General features: G+C 31.6%; 1 non-coding gene across 1 annotated transcript; it reads left to right on the forward strand.

Moving 5' to 3' along the window:
• The first annotated feature begins 19,678 nt into the window (after positions 1-19,678).
• Positions 19,679-19,803, forward strand: SNORA107 (small nucleolar RNA, H/ACA box 107). The gene has a single exon (NR_132852.1). It is a non-coding gene; the product is annotated as a small nucleolar RNA, H/ACA box 107 (small nucleolar RNA).
• Positions 19,804-22,140: the final 2,337 nt, after the last annotated feature.

A 22,140-nucleotide genomic window follows, 5' to 3' on the forward strand; every position in this document is an offset into this window, starting at 1 on the left:
TCAACTTTTATTAATAAATGGGGGGTTTGGGGTTCAAAGAGGCATAAATAATGACGGCATGACCATGTGGCTTAGTTTATTAAATGCGATATTTCACAACATAGAGAGTCCTGTTTTTTAAGTTTCTGGCACCAACATTTCAATTTCTCTACTTTTTAACAGCTATCTCATAAAGTGTATAATGTGTTATCATTTAACTGTAGGCACCTACTTGGCAAACCAAACACCAAACTTTCAGGTAACTCACCTTCAAATGCCTTTTGGTGTTTGTTAACAGTTTTATTATAGTATATTAGTAACATTGTATATTTATATTGTGCTTAGAGTTTATATTCCACTTTCACAAAACTCTTTTCTTTCATATTTCTGCTAATTATTATAGTAAGTTACTGCCATTTTATAGTGAGAAAACTAAGGTTCATGTAAGACACTGTAATTTATGCTGAACTCAGTTATTAACCTTTACCTTTCTGCCAAGATGGAAGTAAGTTAATTTCTCACAGATACTAGCATGCTATTTTAAATATATACAATTATAACACATTAGCAATAGCATTCCAACAAAAATACATTTATTGAGCACATTTTATGTGCCAGACCATATGCAGTACTTCTATTATGCCTTTAATCTTCACAGTAATTCTGTAAGTTAAATCCCACTGTTATATTCTCTATATGTTTCTTAATATTATACTCATTGATGAGGGTAAAGTGAACTCTCTCAAGATCCAGTAAGTAGCAGAACTCAGAGTCAAGAATAGCCTTTGAGTCTAGAACTTCCAAATTCAGAAATATCACACTATTTTGTTTCAAGTTTTATCATTTGGCCAGTAGACCAACAACTATTTAAATGAAAAACATAGTTTTTAATACTTATGTTTTCAGTGCCTAGCCTATTCCTTGGGTTTTAATAGGTTGTATTAAATGTTTTCAAAGAAAATAGTCTGTTATTATATATTTTTTAAGCCTTGCAATACATTGAAATTGAATTGGTAATTAAGAATATAAAGTGCATGACATCTTATTGACCTGTTTAGTATATCCTACATGTTCAGAACAGTGCATCACATTTGACAGATATTCATTGAATAATCATTGAATGGTTGATCTTAATTTACTATAATAGGAAAAATATAAGGATGTAATATTGAGTAATATTGGATTGAGGCAGAAAGGGAAACTAAAATTTGGAGAAGATAATTCAAAAGTTGGAGTAGAGAAATGAGAGATGTGAGCTGGAAAGTGCACACTCCAATAAACTCAAATTCTCATTCAGAGTTTTCAAAAAGCATTCAGTGAAGAGATCACAGGGGAGCACTCCACATGACAGAAACCATGCCATATAAACAGCCATCAAATGGGATGTTTTACTGAAAGAAAATAAGTTTTCAGTATTTATGGGTACTGAAAAAAATTGAACTTTAATATTTCACATTGACTATACAAAATACAGTCATTTTGTATTTGGCATACCTTCTGGGTACACCATATTTTCTTTACTTAAATCTCTTAATTGTGTTACCAAATTACTTTTCACAGATTTAAGGACTTTGAAAGAATTGGAAAATATGGCAAAAATAGGCATGAAACATGGCAGAATTATAATAACATGTAAAATACCTAATTTTTCTTGGAAAAGTTGAGCTATGGGCTGTATAATATGTTTTGGGAAAATATTTGCTTCCAATTAATTTATCGGCCATGTCAAATAGGACAGGATACCTTCTTAATGTATAAAATTATCAAGTTGGAGTATATCATTTTCCCATGGTTTTGCCTCTGAAAAAACTATCAAGTGCTCCTTTTTTTGTAAGAGTGTTTAAAAATATTAAAACACACAGTGAAACTACAATTGCTTAAAATTATTTAACTATTAAATATTACTAAAGAAATCATGATGCTAAATTTAGGATACCCATCATAAGATGTGAAGTATAAAAACTGTACCATAAAAGAAAAAATAATCAAAATAGAGAATAAATAAACTACTAGCTATTTTTAAAAATAATTTGTATATTTTTTTGAAAAATTAAGTAAATTTTTTAAAAGAAGAAAAAAGCAGATTATTTTATGTAAAAAAGTCGACATTTGAAATACATTTTTTAAGCTATAATTACACATAGAAAAATACAGATTTAATATAAAGCAATATCTTTTTGTTATTAACTAAATTCAAATCATATATTTTTATGTTTTAAATAATCTTGGTTGACTTTAAATCTCTATGATGATGCTAATATAAATATTGAAACACTTTATATATGTGTGTGTAACACAATTGATATTAAAACAAAATTATAAAAGCATGATGTAATAGACACATCTAAACTTATTCCTGTACTCAGTTCATTATCATCTTCCTAAATATGAACTCTATTAGATTTATCTTATAACTAAAAAATATAGGGATACATATTCATTTTAATTCAATTAATCAGGTCATTTGACATTTCAAAAATAACATAGCTTCAGAATACAGAATATGCAGAGTATTTTCATATATATAAGAAAATACATATATATAATCATTAAAGCTGGGTGTTGTCTGTCTGATCGTAGCTAGTGGCTGAATTTTATTTTTTTTTTCCAAAAGAAATCAAAGAAATAAAAATATTTTGGGGCATGTCTGAGACATACTTAAGCCTTGGATGTAAGTTATAAGATAGTCATTTTTTTTGGAAACCAGTATTTGAACTCATTATGCAACACAATATCCGACAAGTAGTCTGAAAATGTGATTACATACCTGGGCAGTTCTGTAAAATACACTCATTTATTGAATTTCTACCACATGCTTATTACCATAATAAAATATTTCAACACTGAATGAGAGACATTTTCTATAGACAAAGATCTTAGTGGCAAGATATTAGTATAAAAGATAATTAAATTGCAGCTTAATGAATGTTATAAAAAGGAGGATAGAGGAAGTTTATGAAGGATACTGAGGCACAGATAAGTTAATTATCTTTATTTTTCCAAAAAACTTCAGTCATACTGAAGAAATAATACTAAATAATTATAAATCAAATGTGTTTCAATAGGAAAGCACATGATCTATATCTATAGTTGAAAGTTTTCAAAAGAATGCTAGAGGAAATATTGAAATGATAAAATCATTGTTTTTTATCTGCTCTCTTTTTCAAGTAACATTTAACAAATAATTTATATGTACATTGAGTGGAGAAAAGTGTGGATGCTCATAGCTTTGAGTAAATCAATCACAAACATTGATTTTTAATTAACCTGTCAGTCATTCACCAAAGGGATAATTTGTTTCATTTAACTTTAACATTTTACTTTCTGTTAATTAAATAATTTAGTAAAGCATAAAGTCTACAGAGATGAACAAAAATAGTGCTACATTTTATAGCAAAGTTAAGCACAGCTTTATATAAGTTAAATAATCCAGTTGGTTAACTTCACTTGTGAAATCTACTAAATGCCCAACAAACAAAATAATTATGCAAAATTTCTTAATAAAAACCTATGAGAACTATTTGATTCTTCTCTCTTTTCTTCTTTGTCTAGATAGCGGTCATGAGGAATTATCTTACAGTCCATTGAAATGCTTATCATTAGAGAATCAATATTTGTATTAATGTTTAGCTCTCTGAAGACAGCATGTAGTTTATGTTCCATGCCAGAAAAGAAAGATTCACTTTTTTTTATAAATTTTGACTGGGTCATCGACAAGAATTATCTATAAATTCCTGGAGTCCAATGGGGGAAAATACCCCACATTAAAGTTGTATTAAATTGCTTTACATTAAGATCTTTAGATGTCATATTATATTACTGAAAATTTGAAAATAATAACACTTATGAATTGAAGTCATAATTCAAAAAGTAGTTGAAAAAATTCAAATGATGTATAGAAATATATATGTATGTATTATGTATCTGTGTGTAATATGTACATATATACATACCTACATCTAAATGATATATATCTCATATAGATCTGATATATATATCATTATATCTCAAATATGTGAGATTATATATATATATATATAATATGACTTAGAAACAAGAACACCATGCATGCTTGGTTCTGGTATAGTACAAAGATGATAAATAATTTCAGTAGCTTATAAAAAATTGATAAATGAAAACATCATTTCTTCTACATTATTTATTATTGTTATAGAAAATATACTCACAAATATTACTTAAATTAATTTGCTACATGCCAGGACCTAATTCGTTATGATTTGTTGATGTTGCATTTATGAAATGAGAATATCGCCTGATCTTTTCAAAGCTTTGGAAACATACAAGAAAACTTTGGGTTTTTGAGTCAGAGACCTGGGTTGGAATATTGATTCTGTTCACTAATACTCTTATAACCTTGAACCATTTAACCAATATTTTCAGATCTTTAAATAAAAAATAGAAGCATTCACTTTTTAGAGTTGTCATGAAAATTAAATTAGACACATCTGTAAAATACCCTAGTCCACTGCAGGCACTCCTATGTGAGTTTCTTTTTATTTTCAAAGAATAATTGAATTCTACATATGATCAAATGCTTAGTTGTGAAAGCTTTTGTTTTCTAAGTGAAGAAACATTATAGAAACTTAATTGTAATATTGTTGACTTTTACATGCATTACATTTATTTTTATATGTACGCTTTGTATTAATAAATTCATGTGGTAGGTCGAGAGAATAGTCATGACATTTTGACATTTTAATAATCAAGCTCCTTATACTATCTTTACCACTTGAATATTACAGAACCTTGAGAAAAATTACACACATTTAATTAGAATGTCTGAAAAATGCCGATAGCAACCTGTCTTACGATGTAATCATATGAACTTATTTAATACCCATTGTAAAATAATAATATAAAAATACCAAATGTAAGCATTTTTGAGAAATGTAATATTCTCTTTGTCTTCAACCTAAAATAATTGAATTTAAATTATGATTTTGGTGGATTTTACTTAATAATTTCATATCTATCTCTATTAAAATTTCTATATCTACGTCAATATTGGCATCAAGATATATATATATAGACAAATGTACTATCTATATATATATAGACAGATGTTATATATATATAGACAGATATACTCTCATATGAAAACCATTCACCGTTTGGTCATTCTTAAACTTTTGTTATAATAAAAATTTATACTTAGGTTTATAATTGACTAGTCAATCTAAAATAGATTTTAAAAATATTTCTCTTTAAAATAGGACTACTAAGATAGTGGTATGTGTCAAACAAATTTTATAGATCACCTCATCAAAATATTATATATACATTTATATTACATTTCATATTAAATATCAAAAATCATACAAAATACTAAAGGTTTATATGTTACATTATTTCAAACTAATTTGATGAGATTATATCATATGAGATTTTTTAAATAAAGGTAATGAAATGTAAATATGTTCAGTACTGTACACACAGATTTCTTTTTTCTAAATAATTATTATTATTCTTGAATACTGGACAGCATACTTGATAGTAAAATACAGATATATATTCTATTTGTGAAATTTGTCATAATTAGGTAGCTGAGAAGTAATAACTTTTTCATTTCCTTAATGTGCTTTCAGTTTAGAGAGAAATACAGGTCTTTAAAACTGTGAGAAATTAGTATGTGATAAGTTATAATCTAAGAGAGCTATGCAAAAACATTTATGAATGCTGGCTTATAAATATCAGAATAATGAAACACCAAGTTAACTAAAATGCAGTTTCCATTCATTGCCTATTTTATTTTATTCTATTACATGAAGCAGCTCACTAATCACTAAGCATTGCAAAACATTATTTAATTGTTCTCTATTATGCCATTCTGATAAGAAAATTTTATTCAATAATTGAACAATCATTTTCAAGTGTTTATGAGTGCTTCAGAAAATACAAGTAATATATACTTCCTCAACTTAAAGGAGTCCATTAGTGATATAGATACAAACCAAACTAACGCTACTGCAGAGAAGAAAGAATAAATTCAAGGGAAATAGAAATAACCTATACAGCAGCACAGGAATGGAAGAAATTAATTTCCACAGAAATCAGGCAGTCAGTTTCAAACTTAAAATCTCAGTTATAAAATGAGTTAAGGAAAAACTGGATAAGGCCAGCTAGCCTCATTAACATTTCATTTCACAGTGAATACTCTAAGAACTTCATCCCCTTTACATAATGGTACATAACTTCATGGGTTTTGTGACTTTTTCTGTATCTCCACAGGAATTTTGGTGTAAACTTGAAGAAGCTACAAGTACTATTAGCCTGAAGCCATGTTAAATTAATATTTGCTGGTACTTCAAATAAATATAGTAATGAAATCATCTTTGTCCTTTCAGCTAACCATACAACTTCCATCTTCATTTAGCTATTAAAATATCAGATCAGAAATAAACTAGACATATTGGTGAATCTATTCACTGTCACTAATCTCTTTTTTTCCTTCCATTGCCCCCCTCCCCACACTGTTCCTATTCCAGTTTGAGATAATGACAATGTCCTTTGTAAGAAATCTGTTTAGTAAAATTTAATAAAGACAGTTTGCATTTTTTTTTGGATGACATTACTGGTTACCAGGTTGAACCGAGTTCCCCCATCTACCTTCCAAGCGCGCGTGCGCACTCACACACACACACACACACACACACACACACACACACACACACATATACAAATGCTAGATTAAATGTGAGAAAACTATCTTAGATATTTATTTCGCTAAGCTTGAAACCAAAACAGAAAATGAATAACTGGGACAGAAGACATAATAAACTTAAATTCAGATGGAAGAGCTGAAGGTGAAACCCTCATGGTTCCTGAGAGTACTATACATAACAAATGAAGGATGACAGGGTTGTGCAATCTAAAGGAAGTAGTGTAAAATTTCTATTATTGCATTGTTTCTTTTAGTAAAGGCACTACTTTTGTAGGCTGTCCAGAAATAGCATCCCATCATCTTTTTCATCAACACCATTTAATAATCATCCACCGGACTGTATTTCTAATACTCGTCAAATACTTCAGATTCTACTTCCTCCTCGTCATATATTAGGTTAGTTTCCTTTGCTCTATTTAAAAAACCGTGTCTAATTTGTATTGTTTCAGATTTTCTTTCTTCCATAGAATTATCTCCTTGGCCATCGTAAATTCATAAAATATAAGTTTGAGCTAAATTTAATGTTATTCCTATTTCTTTGTTTTACATGGCTCTGGATTAACGCTTAAATAAATCTCATACCTTTTAACCAGCACATAACATCACTCACAATCTCATCCTTTCTCACTTTTCCAGATTTCCTACATTCTTCTTGAATTTTCTTCCCAGCTATGTCCATATACTTTAGTTTGACAACTGTAATCTTCTTCGTTCCTCTGTGCTCCATTACCATTAGAATTCCCACTTTTATGACTTCATTTTGTTTACACTTCTCTCCTCGTACTTAAGGATTTTTCAAGCATTCCTGCTCATTAGGAGACTCCTCTCTTGGCAACCAATTCCCCTTTCCTGCTTCTATAATGTGTCCTCCATGGTATGAACACCATTATTATAAAATGTACAGAGCTGAATCATAGCTGCCTACTTTTATGGCCTTCGTCCCCAAGTTGTTACTATACCTACTGATGCAATGTAGATACTCCATAGATATTTGTTGAATTAGTAGATGAATTGCATTGTTCTGGGCTCTTTTGGGAGGACACCAGTTCATTTATTCTTTCTGGATCTGAGTTTATTAATGGGCTGATTATAGAAGATTGAATTTATTAATTGTTATGGCCCTTGTACAGTCCTTAAAATGGCCTACAAAGCCCTCCAACGTCTGATCCCATCACTTCTCTGACCTCATTCTCTCTTCATCTCTCCCACTGTTTCAGCAAGGCTAGCTTTTTGCTGCTGGTCAAATATACACAGCATGAATCCAACTTAGGACCTACTTTTTCAGGCCTGGATGCTCTCTCATGTTAACCACATGGCAAACTCCTCATATCATTGTTCTAGACCTTCTCATTGAAATGTACTTTAAAAACTAATATATTTTATAAGCAATACATAGAATAGAATATCTATTCTAAAGACTCCAATTTTATTTTTTTTTCTGCCACCTTTCCCTTTGTAACATTTTGTTTACTATTTATTATATTTACTGACTGTTATCTAACTGGAAAGTCACTTATGAAGACAGAAAGTTTTGTACAAGAATATATTTCAGGTGCTCAGAAAAGTTATCATATCAATAATTATGTGTTGACAACATGAACGCAAGTAATTTATAATTCTAGAAATAAAGCCAAAATTTTAGGCTGCATTTCAAACATTCTATAATCAGTTTGAAAACCATCGGGAACAATGTTCACTATTTGGATGATGGGTATACCGGAAGCCCAAACCTCACCATTGCACAATGTACTCATGTAGCAAACCTGCATCTGAACCCCCTGAATCTAAAAGAAAATAAAATACAACTTAAAAAGACAGAAACAAAACAATTTTTTAGTCTCATTCATACTATTTTTATTTAAAAACATCACACCCCATCCTCTGCTGATGTTAGAAGAGCCGGCAATGAAGAAAGTATACTCACTGTGTTCCAAAAAACTTTTTTATATTTTCACTGTTGTATATGGCTTTGCTCAATTTGTCTACCTAGAACTCTGTTTTCCCTACCTTCTAAACATAGAATTAATTATGTCTTTAATGTCTATCTAGTGTCTAATCCAAATTAGAATGAGAAAAATCTTCCTTATCTCCTTAGTTGTAAGTTATTTATCCTTATGCAAAGTTACTAGCATCATATACTATATTTGATTTTTAATAACTAAAGCTAAAATCAAGTTATTATTTGAGTGATTATGGGTTATCTTATTACCTACATTACAACTTTTTTGATATGTAACATGCATATGTACATGTATTACTTTATATATACATGCATGTATATGTGTATTTATATACACATATATGCACACTACACATTCATATACAGTTTGAATTGTTTTTGTTTTCCATAATTATAATCACAAAATAGACTCAATAACTATCTGAAAGTAACTTAAGGCACTATGCAAAAGACACTAAATTGTATGCACCACTTAATTAATCCACAAGAAAGCACTCTTTTTCATTAGCTTTTAGAATTTGATTGCCAAATAAAAATATGTAATTTTTGGTTCTCTCTATGGGATAGGAAGAACAAGAAAATTATTTCTTGAAATGAGTTAGATATAATTAGGAGGCTGCTAATTATATTCTATTTTAATGACTGCTAATCAAGGATCCACTAAACCTCAGTAAGTTCATATGGAAGGTTAATGGCAAGAGAAATGATTTCGATTTATTTCCCAATTCAAGCTGAAAAGTCAGAATAAGTTGTCCTGTCCTCTGGTGATTGATGGAGCAAATGTTCCAGCAACAATTCTTACAGCATATTAATGATACAATGAATTCAGAGTATTTTATTTTATCTCAAAATTGCATCTAGAAACTTCTTAACAATCATCATTTTAAAATAAAAACATTTTCATTCTAATCACATGCTTATACAGGATTCTATTAAAACAGAGCCCTCTAGTTGTCTTAATAGAGCAGATGGCAAAGTATGTCTCAGGGCTATATGCCTAACGTGTTGTCTACTGACTTCCCAAATGAAGAAAAACCCACACTCACCACAGATCAAACCTGATTCTCAAGGAGGATTTGTAGTAAATGCTCTTTTTATTATTATCTCCTCTATCCTACTTTTACCCACTAAATCTCAGACAAGTCTTACATGCATTAACTAAAGAGAATAATTTTCCCCAAAGTTATTACTTAGGAAATAGAGATACTTTTGAGTCTTCACAAATGTTATAAATTCAGGTGGAGGGGTCTAATTCAATTACTTGTTTTCAAGAAACTATTCTTTGGAGAAGACACCTCTCTTTCCATCTACTGAGACTATTCTTTCCCTAGATATCTTCACTGATATTTTTTCAGATATGTAGCCAGGTATCATTTTAATACACAAGTTTTTCTTTATGTGTTTGAATTACAAATACAAAATAGTATTTCTGGCTTTATGTTTATCTTAAATAACTCTAAGACCTCATTTCTTACACGGTTTTCTTATAAGAGAGATCCATAGTTTTCATTTCCCGTGTTAGTACTTTGAGTACCTTGTGTAAATCTAGCTGACATTGTTATTGCTTTATTGTTATAAATGAGACAGGGGAATTATCAATATTTTATATGGCTCAATTCCATGAATGTCAGGCATTATCAGATGTAGACAATGTCTGATAAGTCACAGGAAAGGAGCTCATTTAATGAACTACTCTAAATAAGAGCCAAACTTGTAGGGTGAGCTAGTATAATAAATACCACAGTTACAAAATTATGTGGAGTTGTAGTTCTGGTTTAAGGAAACAAGAGCAAGATGTAAGCTTGGATAGAGACCGAAAAGAAAGAGAAGGGGTGTATTAGTTTTCTATTGCTGTTTAACAAATCAATAAACTAGCAACTAAAAACAACACAAATTTACAAGTTCAAAGTATGTAGGTCAGAAATCCAGGTGAAATATTACTGGATTCTCAGCTTAGTCTATCATCAAGTTGAAATCAATATGTTAGCTAGATTGATTTCAAGTCTGAAGGTTGCAGGAAAAAAGACACTTTCAAGTCTATTTGGTCATTGGCTGAATTCAAATCTTAGCAGGGCATAGAACTGAGACCTCTGTTTCCTTACTGGCTGTCATCTGAGAACTGCTTTCACTCCCAGCAGCTATCCAAATTCTGTATAACATGGTCCATTGCTTCTTTGAAGCCAGAAATAGACGGTTTCTTGCATGAACCCAACTTACACTTCAAAACTTTGACTTCAAGATGACTTCAGCCACTTTTAAGAGCTTACCCTTTTAGGTCAGGCTCAACCCAGATAATCTTCTTACATTCAACTGTGTTATACAAATTACCTAATTACAGGAGGGAGTGAAACTCATCATGTATACATATAATCTAAAGGACTATATAGGGTGATGAGATTTGTGGAAGATCAAACTAGTGCTAAAGGTAAATGGCCACATTATAATTCATGGATAAAATCTAATGTAATTCTGATACAGGAGTGCATGCAAAAAGTTTACAGTAGAGCAGATGTATCTAGTAGAGATTAATAAGAAACAACACTTATTCAAAACAAAACATTTTTTTTTATTTTTCTGACTTTGGACCAACAATGAAGTCTTCATAAAAACACTAAGCACAAATTTAGAAAATTCTACTTGCTTTTTAAAGCTGTAATGAAACTACATAATTAGTAAAAATTAAGTTTAAGAGAGTATTTAGTACATATTTTTGCTTTTGCTTAATCAGTATAAAGGAATGCAAATTATGCACATTTGGATTAATAACATGAACACAATTTCGAAAGAAATTTTACCTAGGCGGACAAAATTGTTTACAGACATTGAACACTTTGTTTAACCATTTATGTTAAGGTGGTTAAGGAAAACAAAAGATATGCCTATTTATATACAGTGTAAAAAACAATGGTTTAGAGTATTTTAAGAGAAATATAAAATATAAAACGTAGGGCTGTTTAGTATAATTTTCTTGAGGAACCAGGCACAATGTTTCATCACACAAAAATTTTGGACAACTACTCTTGATATAACTGGTAATATTACTAATCTCCAGTACAGCCGTGAAAAATACACAATTTCTATTCTAGTAGAGGACACAGATAATAAATGAGAAATAAAATGGTGTTATTTTAAACCAAAATGCCATAGAAGGAGCAAGTGCAAAGTAACAAATTTGAGGGACTGCTATTTTAAGTAGCCTTGCCAAGAAAGTCCTCCATGGCGGTGTTGGAGCAGAGATCTGAAAGAGGCGAGGCAATGAGCCATGTGAGTATCTGCGGGAAAAACATTCCAGATAGACTCTTTCATATTGGAGAGAGTTTCTCAATGTAAACACAACGAAATCATTAACAAAGTCAATATTTCTTATCAAAATTAATTGTTCCAAATCTAATATTAAATTAAAATACGCAACATCCATAACAGAATCATTGTGTTTTGTTATCGGCTGTACTCCCAGTGCGTGTAAGTGTGTCTTTCACAGAGTGGGGGCAATAAATACTTGGGGAGTGGTGGGTCGGGCGCAGTGGTTCATGCCTGTAATCTCAGCACTTTGGGAGGCCGAGGTCGGCGGATCTCTTGAGGTCAGGAGTTCAAGACCAGCCTGGCCAACATGAGGAAACTCTGTCTCTACTAAAAACAGAAAAATTAGCTGGGCATGGTGGTGCATGCCTGTAATCCCAGCTACTAAGGAGGCTGAGGCAGGAGAATCACTTGAACCTTGGAGGTAAAGGTTGCAGTGAGCCGAGATCACATCACTGCACTCCAGCCTGGATGACAGAGCAAGACCTCACAGCAAATAAAATAAAATAAAATACTTGGTGAGGGAATAAATATTGACTTTCAAGAGTTCAATGTTAGATGTAAGCCAATGTATTTTTCAAATGAAAATAGTTTTCTTAGCAAACTGAGTTATCATTTTTGAGACTGCTATAAGCAGCAAGTTTTAAAACACCAAACTGTTAATGGCATTCACTGGGGGAAAGGGTCTCTAATATGCTCAAGTTGTACTAAAGCATTTATTTGGAGAGTTGGTCAAGTAGTTTGGTGATCTTGTCTACAATCTAGGATTTCTCTCGCTTTTCCTAATGCATCGGTGATGTCCTATTACTGTTTGCCAGATGCCTGCATCATGTCAAGCATCTTGTAATCACATGGCAAAGTGCTAAGGAATAGGGAGGGCACATGCACTTTGCACCTTATACTTTTTATTAGTGAGCAACATCATGACCATAAATTCCCTAGAAAAACAATCTAGTTGGAAAGATAATCCCACACTACTAACTTCTTCCTGCTCTGCTAGGTATAATATGGCACAGGAAAGTATGTATCTCAAACTCTTAGTCTCTACCTTAAAAATAGGTTCTGACAGAAGAACTAAGAGGAGTAAGACTGTTGTGTATGTTACCAGTACTGATTGACAGACTATTATTATAGGACTAGTGCGCTATGATGTGTTGTTTAAACCAGTTCAATCTAGGAGCACAGTCATTGCATGTGCACTGCACTAGAATTAATAAAACAATTTCAGACAAGTATGTAAAATCCATTGCATTATTACAAAAACTCTTTTGTTTTTATGCATTAAAACTTTCTGAGAATATATATAAGATGATGTGGTTATTTCTAGACATCAGAACTGAGTAAGAATGAGGAGATTTTAATTATTGTATTACTTTTAGACATGTGTGTGAGTGTGTGTGTGTGTGTGTGTGCGCAAGGGGGGTTGGTGGTTATAGCTTGCATTGTTGTTTCAAATCATTTGCTCCTTATTCCAAGAAGAAAGACTGTATACCTCCTTACCCCATGTGACTTGAGTGTCTCCCTACAAGAGGAGTACTCTATACCTGCTCTGCAACTTGCTTTGGTTCAAACAATATGTGCTGGAACGATATGCGCCAGTCCTGATTAGATACTTAAGAACACGTGTGTATTTCCAACAGTATTCTTGTTGTTTTCTCTCTTGCAGAATAAAATAGGGTGTTAAATTAGGGATGGCAATCAGGCTGGGTTCGCAAATGAGGACACACCTAGGTCAAGAGCAAAGTCACTGCTGGCCCACCATAAAGTGATAACATGACATCATAAACATTAAAGTGTTGGAGTAATTTGTGACTGTGGCCTTACCTTACAAAATCTGGCTAAAACATGTTAATAGTAACATTCAGGTGAAATTGAACCTCAGAATTTTTGTGAATTATTAAAGGTATGATTAAAATTGATATTTTATTCAAAACTTTTTGAGACATAGCAAATAGCATATAGTATTCAATTAAATAAATATTTAGACATATATGACAGACAATACAATTTGTTCTTTGGATCATATAAGTATCTATCAACACAGAATAGAATAATTTGGTTATTCTATAATTCAACATATTTTACCCATATTGTTGAAGTAACAAACTTCAACTTTGTTATTCTGAAAATCCCAAAATGGCATTGAAATTCATATAAAACTTTAATTTTCAGAGTGTTACAATTCACCAGAGATTAGGATGCTAAAAATGCTAATAAGTAGATGATGTCAGTTATTGAAGAAACCTAGAGGTAGGTCCAGATAGTCTGATTGAAGTCATAAAGTTTAAGGAATTTCCCAAATGAAAGGCTTTTGGTAGGTAGCACAGGCATTTTGACAGGCTTATTGTAAAGGGCTCTCATGTTTTCTGTCTCTCACAACACCAGAAATACTTTCAACCACGATTCTATTTTCCTGACACATTTCAAATAAAATACGGGTGTGTAAAACATTCCACAAAATAAATAGTATAAGACCGTAGTTACGGTGGAGGATTCATAAAACAAAGATATTCTTGCCCAGTAACAAATGATTTTTTAAATGCAAAAGTTTTATACTTCAGAAGACATGATAAAGAATATTTAGCCCATTACTCCAACTATATTATCCTTAAGACCAAGAATAAATAATAAAATATAAATGTTTCCTAGGTATTACTATGTGTCAAGTGATGAGCTCATCTTTTTTACATATGTCATGTGTTCCTCATAATAACTATATCAAGTATTCCTCACATACTCACTGATACATATACTGCATGGAGTAACCACTATTATTATCAGGGTAGGATTATAAATGTGATGTAAATGGCATTCCCCTGACTTGGGGGCAAGTTGCTTGGGTAGAAGTGGTTCTGGCTATTATTACCACTTTTTCAGAAGAGCAAAAAGAAATTTAGAGATACACAGGATCACTTATTTAAGTACAAAAGTATAGTAAGGGAAAAAACAGCATTTTAATCAGTCAATCTCTTTTGTAGAAGGCTTCTAAAAATTTTGCTATCTATAAATCTCATACAAAAATTATTTATAAGGAAAATCAGATGTAAAATACAAAAAAGAAAAAAAATTGGTAGTTTGTATGATTCAATTAAAATCAGGTTGGTTATATGTAACAATATATGTATTTATATTATTTTTAATTTGATAATTTACTTTCATATATTGAATATTAAACCCTAGAAAATAATAAAATGTACATTCAAAAGTTAAGAACAATTTATAGCAATGAATATTAGAGGGATCTTGATAGCTTAGAACTTGATAATACTATAATTATATTTGACAAAAGGAAGTCAAAATCTTATTCATTTATAAAATTTTTGTACAGTCTTTGAGAATGAGAGTAGTAGTTCATTCTCATGACTATAGCTTGATATATATAAAGCTCTACAGATAGAAAAATATATATCTCATAATTCATAGGTCTTATATATATTTTATGACCTATTACTTGATATGTTTACTCAAGCAATATATCAATTTGTTACGTGTTATATATCTTATAAATAGTATATGTAATTATTAATATATATACACAAATCCCCTTTTATTTTGCTACAATGGAACTCTCTTTTCAACTATTTCTATTGTGTACTGCTTACCCGATCTCCATCACTATGTACTCTAGAATCTTGACTAAAATTGTCAGGTGGAGTCCAAAACTGTATTATAAATTTACAATCCTCTACATTAATCTTTTGGGTATTTTATATTTTAATTTAGTAATATTACGCTTTATAAGTTATGATATTTATGTGTTAAATTAAAATGATGTTAATAGTCATATAAAGAAAAGTCTCCCTTATGCTTGAGAGCTCTAGTCTCCTTCATGGAGGAAATATATATTTTTTAATTAAAGTGAAGACTTAACACTAACTTAGTTTGTAAACCAAACTTCCATATTTCAATTAAAATAAGGACTGAGAGTATTCCTTATATGCATGTATAGAACTATTTTTATTGCTTTTTAACTTTTGTAGAAGATTCCATAATGCAACGTGTCAAATCCGGAGTCTTTCCATGGATATGTAGGTTGTTTTGATCTATTTCTACATGAATAATAATTGTAATGATACATTTTCAGGAGTTGCAATTGCAGAATTAATTCCTGGAAGGAGTCTTGTCCTGGTTAACTGTGTTTCTCTCCTGGACTTCACAACTTTTATTCCAAGAGTCTTAAGGCAGTCCTGCATCCCAGTGTCATGCCACTCTTTGACCCCACTTCTCATAACTCCTCAAATGCAGAAATCTTTCGATCCTCCCCTCCACCTCTGAAACTCAGAAAATCTCCCAAATCTCCTAATTTTTCTCTAAATAGTACCTTCATTATCTTGTTCAACTCAAAATCTTATCCTGCCCTGAAGCCACTTCTCTTGCAGCCTCTCAAGTGGGATATTCTCTTCCTTTGTAGTCTTGGTCATATCAAGAGTCCTGGAGTGGAGCAGACACCCTATTTGCCCTTCATTTCGGCTACCAGAATATTGTCTTTCTTCTTGTTAAAGACTCTCAGTTTGGAATCTCAGGTGAACAGAATTAACCCGCCCTCTCAAAAACCCTTTGATTCCATTTTGAGCTACAATCCATGAACTCTTTTTGTACATAACTTTCATCACAGTCTTTACTCTGTTCTAATTCACCTTAACTTAAATAATTATCATTTTTCCTCTGACTCTACCTCAAACCATTTGCCCATCATTGCTTTAAATAATCCCCTAGAAAAGTAAAGAAAAATTTAATCCACACTTTTGACAATGGAGTTTAACTTGTTTGAAATGAAATACATAACCATGCTGACTGATTTTCTTTAAATGTATGACTTGGGTTTTGCGGAGCATTCAGTGTTAGCAAACATTTGTATATTTTCCCGATGCAGCTATGCTCATATTTTACTTTTGTTAAATTTTTCCTGACACCACCAACACATCTTTTTCTGCCTTTATTCACATCCAAATATTTTCCTTTGTGGTTCACTGAAAAATTAGGAAGAATTGGGGCATATTTCCACAAGTTCTAACCATCACTTCTACCAACTTATTTGATACTCTGCCTAAGAAAATCTCTGCCTATCTCCCCATTACAGCAAAACTCCATATGTAAAGATAAAATTCATCTCCTTCCATCCCCCCTTGAATGTCCTCCACACCAATCATATTTTTCCCCATCAAAACGCTGAAGCTATGCTTATTAAGGTCACAGTGATATCAGTGTTGCTAAATCCAATATCAATTTTATATTACAGAAGACAGTATATTAAGTATTATCTTTTTAAATTGTTGCCATGTCACCATCCTTTCCTGGTGTCTTTCCTACAGCACTTGTCCCTTTTCTTCGTCTCCTCCTTCATTGTCATCTCTGACACCTCTTAATGTCGAAACTCACCTTTTATCATTTCATACATCCTCTTACTTTAAATATCATCTGAAAGCTAATGGCCCCTAGATTAATATCTCAGTCTTAACCTCTTCTTTGATCCTCAGGCTTCCATATAATTATGCAATTGACATCTCCTCTTGATGACCGTAGGCTCCTCAACCTTAAAATGAACAGCAAGCTGACTCCACATTCCATCACACTGTTACCTTGCAAACCCGATTTGCAGTAAATGACCTTTATTATTCTGGTCACTTATGCCAGCAACTTTGTCATCTGCAATCCCTGTCTTCTCTTATATCCTACAACATTCTCATCAGTATATATTGTTGGCATTACCTTAAAAAATATACCCAAGCAACCATCTTTTCTGACCTGGATTACTGCAATAGTCTCCTAATTCATCTTACTCCACATCTGTTCTTATTACTCTGTAGCTATTCTCAGCCAGAGTCAGCTTATAAGCCAAAACCTAAATAAGATCATGGCACTCATCATCTCAAATTTTTACAATGGCTTTCCACCTCAGAGTAAATGTCAGTCTTTACAATAATGTTCAAAACTCTGCATGGTGTGTTTTTTCTCTCCCTTTGTCTCTCTCCCTCCTCTCCTTGTTATTTTCCCTTTTATTTTCCAAACTATATTGTGATTCTTATCTAAAAAAATTTTAGACAAGCTCTATATTCAGAAACTTTGTCCAACCCTGCCTTTAAAACTGAATCTTTCCTTCCCGATGTGTACATGGAATATTTGCTTCCTTCTTCCAGATCTCTAACAAAATGTCACCCTCACAGTCACAACCCTCTTACCCCAGCACTTGCCAGTGCATGCCTTGCTTATTATTACCAGCTGATGAAGTACATGTTTGACCTTAAACATTTGATACATTAAAACAAAGTACTAATGTGATTGTCACCTATCTCCCATCTCTGGAATGTAATGAAATTGAAATTTGGCTTGCTTGTTATTTTTTTCCTGATTTCCTAGCTTGGAAAGTATTTGGAACAAAGGGGTACTCTGAAATGCTTATTGACTTAATGAATCTGCCAGATATTGTCAGATTGCCTTCTAAAGTTGCTGTTCAACAAGCAGACTCTCACTGTATCAAACTGTCTTTTTTCACATCATGTTCACCAATGTTTTGCATTATAAAACTGTTTGCTTTTATTTTAGAAATTGGTAGGTGGAAACACCTGTCACATTATTACTTTAAATTGCATTTTATTAAATTACGAGGTATGTTCAGCACATTTCAATGAGTGTGTGTGTATGTGTGTGTGTGTCTTAATGCTGGTGGCTACATGCCCATTTATTTTGCCCACTTTAGATAAACTTTTGCTCCTTTTCTTATCATTTTTTTAAGGATTATAAATATCTTTAGGAACTTGGCATTTGGCTATGGGTTGTATTATTCATATTTCCCCACTTTTATTTATTTTTTACCTATGAACACTATTTTTTATTATCCTGTCAAATTGAATGTATTGAAATTTATCCGTCTTGGTTTTGATTTTCTGAATTTGTGACATGCTTTAAAAAGTAAAAAGTAGTTCTTCAAATTCAAGTCTTAACAGAGATAAGAAAAGGCTTACATGAGAATACACACAAATATATTATGCTAAGCTATATTCAGTTAACCTTACAATAAAGTTAACAATAATATGGAAAGGCAATTTGCAAAGAAGTGATTATACTCTCTCTTCACTAGAGGATTTGAGAAGCCTATATATACAGGCCTAAAAGAAAAGTCAATACTGCTGCCTTTTTAATTCTCTTTTTTCATTTTTTGGATTTAATGACTTTTCTAACAATTTTCTGCATTTTTCATACTGCTGCATTCACTACATGTATTGCATGATAATGAATAAAATAATTACAGAGAAATTTTATCATTTATATCTGTTGATTGGAATATAGTTTTTATATAGTTGTAATAAATAAATAAATGTGTTAAATATATCATAGGAACTAAATTGTGGACAATTTAGGAATTTCCCTGCCTGCTTTTGTATTTTGCACTGGAAGTATCTGCACTGTTTTTCTATTGACTGTGTAATCATTTTCACTTGGCCTTTTGGCAATGTGAATACTTGTGGAAACCATCATGGATATAAAGGGGGAAAAATACTAGGTTGAATACCTCTGTAAGTTCTTACATTCAATATCTGATGCTTATCTAAAAATGTGTGTTCAGTAATATAAGCATTAAATTTACACAGATGAGAAAAATATTGTAAGTGACTTATCCAATATTACAACGTTACATCATTTTTTTAAGTGGTGAAACAACACAGAAACTGCTGCCTCATTATTTTTGGAAAAAAAAAATAATTCTAGTACTTCATGTTATTTGGGCCAAAATCCATGAAAATCCACTAACTGATTCCCTGTATTTGAGAGTGGATGAGAAATTCATTTTTTTCCACATGCATCATAATAAAATACACTGAGACCTATAGGATCACCAGTAGGCAGCCATGCAAGAAATTGCATTTGAACTTTCCAAACAGAAAGAGAAGAAAGTACATTAGATCTGAGAGAGAATGCATTTCACATAATGAAGCAACGATGAAGGCCAGTGAGCCAGGAGAGGAGTAAATGAGGTGTGTATGGGGGAAGGAGAGAGAAAAAAGGGATTGTTACCAGAAGTCAGAGAAGTAGACAGAAGCCAGATGTAGGCATTGCTTTTTTGTTTTTTCATTCACATCTTTATCTACTTGATTTATAGCTATTAAACACACTTAATAATTTTGTTTTTTTATGATAGCAGCTATATAAGTAGAACCTCCAAAGGTGGTAGAATGGGGTGAGATAGATGGCCTATGAAAATATTCTTAAGATCTATATTTGAATCAACCTAATTATAAATACAGATGAATGCTACATAGTTAATAAATATAAGGCTTACATTCTGATTATACTACTATTTGAAGGTTAATGAGTAAGTAACTGTATCTGTTTGTTATTAGCACATCATCAATATACTGTTGGAGGATTTTTAAAATATTTCATGGAGCAGTAAAGTGAATATTAATAATCGATATAAGGAGATTTTATTAATAAACTGTATTTCTAATAAATTACATTTCTGAGCAAAGGTAAGACTTGCTTTGTCGTACCACTTTGAATTTTGTGACTTAAAAAAACCAGGCTTTTCTTATGAAAAACATGGTACCCTCACTTAGTGACTTTGCATAAGTTCTTAATTTCAGTACTAATTTAAATAACTCCATTGTCTTACTACATTGAGAAGAAGGAAATGAGTCACCTTGTTTCAAAATGTGAAGAAGTGACATCTTTGATATTATTAGTGTCTGCACTGTGTGAGGAAAGCTGATTTTATGTGCTGGTGCAAAACCCATGGCTCATAAACTCAACAGAGGTGAGTGAGTTATGATAGTTTTGGAAATACATTAATGAAATTCTCCAAACATCAATATGGTACATTAGTCTTCATCACATTTGGCTTTATTAAACACACAGATAGATGGGAAGCTGTCATGTATGCCAATTGTTTTGCTTTATCAAAATGACCTAAGGAAATATAAATGTGCTATTTTTTTAAAAGCTATTTTAACATCATGTGTGAATGATAACATTTCATAGTTTGATGATTTAAAGAATGAGATAGTTCAGGATTTTGTCATCATCGTGATTTAACATTCATCAAAGACCTATAATATGTTGGATACCACAGGGGAGGGGGGAAAAGGACACTGCCAAGACACAGTCTCTGCCCTTAATTTATGTTTACTTATTTTCTCTAAAGACTGAAGAAAACATAATTTTTGCTTCATAGAACAGGTTTTGAAAGCTAATGCTTTTTATCAAAATCAATGGGGCTTATGCCATTGGAAAGGACTAAATTGATCTGTTCATTTCAAGGTAAAATAGACATTAAAATGGAAGTTATACCAACTAATAAACATTCAAACGTTAACCTCATTGAAAGAAATATTTCTATAGATACCTAATTATATAAATTTTTAGTTTTTTGACATTCTTGAATAGGAATGGCAAACACAACTTACAATCAGGATTTTTATAAATTTACTTTTATTTTGGACCATAATATAATAGATTATGTAATCAATTTATAACTTGAAACAGGAAAGTGGCTGTTATTTTCAAAATGTGATGTAATACATACTTCAGCTCTCTGAGACATTCCTTTAATATCACCTATATATTATCGTCAGAGTAAACTATTTCAACACCAAGACCAAACACATCTTTCTTTTCAAATACAGCTTCCATAATTCTCTTAGGCATATTCTCTCCTGCAGTGTAACTTATACATATAATAATATATTTTAATATGATGATTAAAATCTAAATTGATTATATGTGTATATACATGTATAGGTGTATACATATATATGTGTATATGTATCCCTTTGCCTATAATTGCTTTCTATATGGCAAGAAAAAGATTATGTTGCATGACTGATGCATTGCACAAGTTCCTCAGGAAAGGACGCTTTTCTTTCAGTTGCTGTTATTTAATTATTATTGTTATTATTATTATGACAGTTATTGCTGAGTGTCATATTTTTTATCCCTGGTCATAATGCAGTACTATCTATTCTCTAAGCACTCATTGTTATTAGGTGAGTATATATATACACATATATACACACACACATATTGTATGAATAGTAAGGAGAAGCTTTTTAAACATTTGATGAAGATTAAAAAGTAAAGGAATTAATATGCATTAAGCACATTAAATGCAGGCCGGGCGAAGTGGCTCACGCCTGCAAGCCCAGCACTTTGGGAAGCTGAGGCGGGCGGATCACAAGATCAGGAGTTCAAGACCACCCTGGCCAACATGGTGAAACCCCGTCTC

The sequence above is a fragment of the Homo sapiens genome, chromosome 13 (assembly GCF_000001405.40).
Source record: "Homo sapiens chromosome 13, GRCh38.p14 Primary Assembly".
NCBI lineage: Eukaryota > Metazoa > Chordata > Mammalia > Primates > Hominidae > Homo > Homo sapiens.